Genomic DNA, 4832 nt, shown 5'->3' with positions numbered 1-4832 from the left:
GTAAGAACAACTCAATTATAAAATAGAGAGTGCATCCTGTCCAGCAATTCTAGGGAAAATGGAGAGAATGCCATTGTTGGGTTAATTCTTTGTTCTTTTCTGTATCAGTTGTTATGGCTCTAAGCTATCCTGGCTACTCAAGTCTTCTAATTATGTTCACAGGAGGAAAGAAGCTAAAATGCTAATTTATGATGGTGTAAAACTTTTTCAAAAGTCTAACAGTAATAGTGTATGGAAAATGAAAATGAAATTTCCTTTGCTTAGTGTTAAAATTCTTGTTCATATGATCTGACGTTAAAGAATGAAAGCAAAACCTTTTGGCAGAAGGAATTAATCACCCATTTCTTTCTACATATTTCCTGTCAGATATCTTCCTATCATGTATATTATTAGAATTCTTAGGCATTTTATGAAAAATCTGCTATCATTTCATTATTCTGATGAGATGATTTTGGGCTAATACATTTAATTCATAAACACTCTAGACTTCCACGCTTGGCACTTCCAGGACAACTTAGAGCCCTGAATTCATTGGAGCTGAATAAAATAGGGAAATATTTTTGAAGGCATCTGTATTAGTTTGTTCTCACACTGCTATAAATAACTGCCTGATATTGGGTAATTCAAAAAAAGAAGAGGTTTAATTGACTCACAGTTCTGTATGGCTGGGGAGGCCTCAGAAAACTTAAAATCATGGCAGAAGGGGCAGCAAAAACATCCTTCTTCACATGGTGGCAGGAGAGAGAAGAGTCAAGCAACAGGGGAAAAGCCCCCAGTAAAACCATCAGATCTTGTGAGAACTTACTATCACAAGAACAGCATGCATGTAACAGCCCCCATGATTCAATTACCTCCCAACAGGTCCCTCCCATGACACATGGGGATTGTGGGAACTGCAATTCAGGTGAGATTTTGCTTTGCATTTTTGGTGCCTTGGCATGTTGTAATCAGGGTTTTAGCTGGAACTGAGATAATCCGCTTGGCATATTGCACAACAATATGCACAGACAAACCATATCGTTCTGCCCCAGTCTCTCCAAAATCTTATGTCCTCACATTTCAAAACACAATCATGCCTTTCCTACAGTCCCTCCAATGTCTTAACTAATTCCAGCATTAACTAAAAAGTCCAAGTCCAAAGTCTCGTCTGAGACAAGGCAAGAAGCAAAGAATCTGGGCTTGGATGCAGCCAAGACTTAAAGCATCAAGATTCTAGAAAATAGAAGGTACAGAGATTTAAGGCCAATTCTGTGCACTACTTTTCTTTACAAGCATTTTTTATTACTAAGCTGTTAATGATGAGAGAACAACAGAAAGTGACAGAAAACCTGAGAGGAGAATTTGCCATTCTTGTAGTGTGGTAGAAAAAAATGGTCAAGTAGAGAATGGACCCTTGTAAAATTCACAGGTGCTCAATGGGACCCCTCAAGATATATACCCTAAAATCAGGCTGAAAGCAAAGGTTTCCTTATGAAGTCTGACACTCAATCAGAACAAGCTTTATGAAGTCTGGCACTTAGTCTCAAGTCATCTCCATTCCTGAATGTATTGAGGGGATTCCTTACTACGGCAGCTGCCTGACAGTAGTGGATAGGGTAAGAAAACACAGACACACACACACAGAGACACACATATAAAATATATATACATAGATACTTTTTTGTCTGTACACACATACTTTACTTATTTATTTAAATTTTATTTTAATTGTTTTTGAGCCCTTTTGTTAATTATATTATTTTTGAGCTCTTTTGTTAATAATTATTTTGTCGTCTAGCTCTGCCACCCAGGTTTCATTGCGGTGACACCATCTTGGCTCACTGCAACCTCTGCCTCCTGGGTTCAAGCAGTTCTCCTGCCTCAGCCTCCCAAGTAGCTGGGATAACAAGTGCCTGCCACCATGCCCTGCCAATTTTTCTGTTTTTAGTAGAGACAGGGTTTCACCATGTTGGCCAGGCTAGTCTCAAACTCCTGAACTCAAGTGATCCGTCTGCCTCAGCCTCCCAAATTGTTTGGATTACAGGAATGTGCCAGCACATTCAGCCTACATTTACTTCATATATATAGATAGATAGATACGTGTGTGCGTGTGTTCTGTGATCTTGTATACAAAATGTTTAGCATTCAATTAAAACTTACCAGGGACACTAAGGAAAAGAAGCATACAGTTATAAAACAAGAGGACTAGAACCATGGAAAGATAAAAATATTGGAAATATTACCATTGGCTTTAACATTTCTAAATGGCAGTGGCATATGTTGGTTACTTTTAGATCATACATAAGAAATGTATGTAAACACACTGTATAACAAAAACCAAGAAACTGGACCTCTACATTTGGTACATGAAGGCCAAAAGGTAAAAGCATAATTGGTAATAATGGGTAATCTCATTTTTACATTCTTTCCCCCCAAAAATCTCATAATCAGCTTACTTCACTTTACAACAAGTAAAACTGCATATAAATGGGAAGCGATGATAATGAGTCCTCTGAAAATAAGACATGTCTTCAAAGGGCTTGCATTTTTGATGCCTTGGCATGTTGTAATCAGGGTTTTAGCTGGAACTGAGATAATCCGCTTGGCATATTGTTCAATGCGACACTTGCAGCATATTGGAAATCAGTACTCATGATTGTTGCTCTCACCCAGTTTCTTTGTACCAGAACTTGTATAGCTTCTACAGGTTTCCATGGTTTTCACATTAGCAATTAGAGTTTTTCTGATATCACCTTATTTATTTTGAAAACTCCATTAGGGATTATAATTATTATTGTATCTGGTGTTCTCTCTTATCCATTGAGGCAACTAAAATATATCACAGCATATATTTTATTTATTTATTTTATCTGTCCCACCCTCTATTGGAATAAGCAGATATTTTTGACAATGTAGTTACTGCTTTATTCCCAATATGGGGAACACATAATGCAAGGGACAAAATATTTGTTAAATATACACTGCAAGGCCAGATGTGGTAGCTCATACCTATAATGCCAGCACTTTGAGAGGCCAAGGGGTGGATCACTTGAACCCAGAAGTTCGAGACCAGCCTGAGCAACCTGGCTAAACCCTGTCTTTACAAAATTCAAAAATAGCTGGATATGATGGGTTACACCTGTATTCCCAGCTACTTAGAGGCTAATATGGGAGGATGGCTTAAACCTGCAAGGTTGAGGCTACAGTGAGCCATGATCAAGCCACTGCACTCCAGCATAGGTAAGAGATCAAGACCCTGTCTCAAAAAAATAAGAAATATATATATGTATATATTTATATTACACAACCAATACATCAATTAATCATTCAATCTTTTCTTTAGTCTATACATCATACTAATGAATACAAACTTATCTTTGTTACTGGATACCATTTTTTAGAAAACTAAAACTACTTAACATATGAAGACTTACATGTCAATATAAATATTTTTTCCCATGCCCATGTCCTGAATGGTATTGTCTAGGTTTTCTTCTAGGCTTTTTATGGTTTTAGGTGTTACGTTTAAAAGCAATGGCAACAAAAGCCGAAATTGAAAAATGGGATCTAATTAAACTAAAGAGCTTCTGCACAGCAAAAGAAACTATCATCAGAGTGAACAGGCAACCTACAGAATGGGGGAAAAATTTTGCAGTCAATCCATCTGACAAAGGGCTGATATCCAGAATCTACAAGGAAGTTAAACAGATTTACAAACGATCCCATCAAAAAGTGGGCAAAGGATATGAACAGACACTTCTCAAAAGATGACATTTATGTGGTCAACAAACATATGAAAAAAAGCTCATCATCACTGGTTATTACAGAAATGCAAATCAAAACCACAATGAGATACCATCTCATGCCAGTTAGAATGGCAATTATTAAAAAGTCAGGAAACAACAGATGCTGGAGAGGATGTGGAGAAATAGGAATGCTTTTACACTGATGGTGAGAGTGTAAATTAGTTTAACCATTGTGGAAGACAGTGTGGCAATTCCTCAAGTATGTAGAACTAGAAATATCATTTGACCCAGCAATCCCATTACTGGGTATATACCCAAAGGACTATAAATCATTCGACTATAAAGACATATGCACATATATGTTTATTGCAGCACTATTCACAATAGCAAAGGCTTGAAACAAACCCAAACGCCCATCAATGATAGACTGGATAAAGAAAATGTGGCACGTATACACCATGGAATACTATGCAGCCATAAAAAAGGATGAGTTCACATCCTTTGCAGGGACATGGATGAAGATGGAAACCATAATTCTCAGCAAACTAACACAGGAACGGAAAACCAAACACCTCATGTTCTCCTTCATAAGTGGGAGTTGAACAATGAGAACACATGGACACAGGGAGGGGAATATCACACACCCGGACCTGTCAGGGGGTAGGAGGATAGGGGAGGGATAGAATTAGGAGAAATACCTAATGTAGATGACATGTTGACGGGTGCAGCAAACCATCATGGCAAGTGTGTATCCATGTAACAAACCTGCACATTCTGCTCATGTATCCCAGAACTTAAACTACAATAAAAAAAGAAAGAAAGAAAGAAAAAATTACCAGTTGGGTGCAGTAGCTCATGCCTATAATCCCAGCACTTTGGGATGCCAGGCAGGCTTCAGTCTAGGGGTTTGAGACCAGCTTGGACAACATGGCAAAACCCCATCTCTACAAAAAAATACAAAAATTAGCTAGGTGTGGTGGCTCAGGCCTGTAGTCCCAGCTACTTGGGAGGCTGAGGTTGGAGGATCATCTGAGTTTCAGAGGTGCAGGTTGCAGTGAGGCATGATCTTGCCTCTGCACTCCAGTCGGGGCAACAGACCATGACCCT

The sequence above is a fragment of the Homo sapiens genome, chromosome 3 (genome assembly GCF_000001405.40).
Source record: "Homo sapiens chromosome 3, GRCh38.p14 Primary Assembly".
Taxonomy (NCBI): domain Eukaryota; kingdom Metazoa; phylum Chordata; class Mammalia; order Primates; family Hominidae; genus Homo; species Homo sapiens.
The sequence above is the reverse complement of the archived record's forward strand: the minus strand, read 5'-3'. Positions refer to the sequence as shown.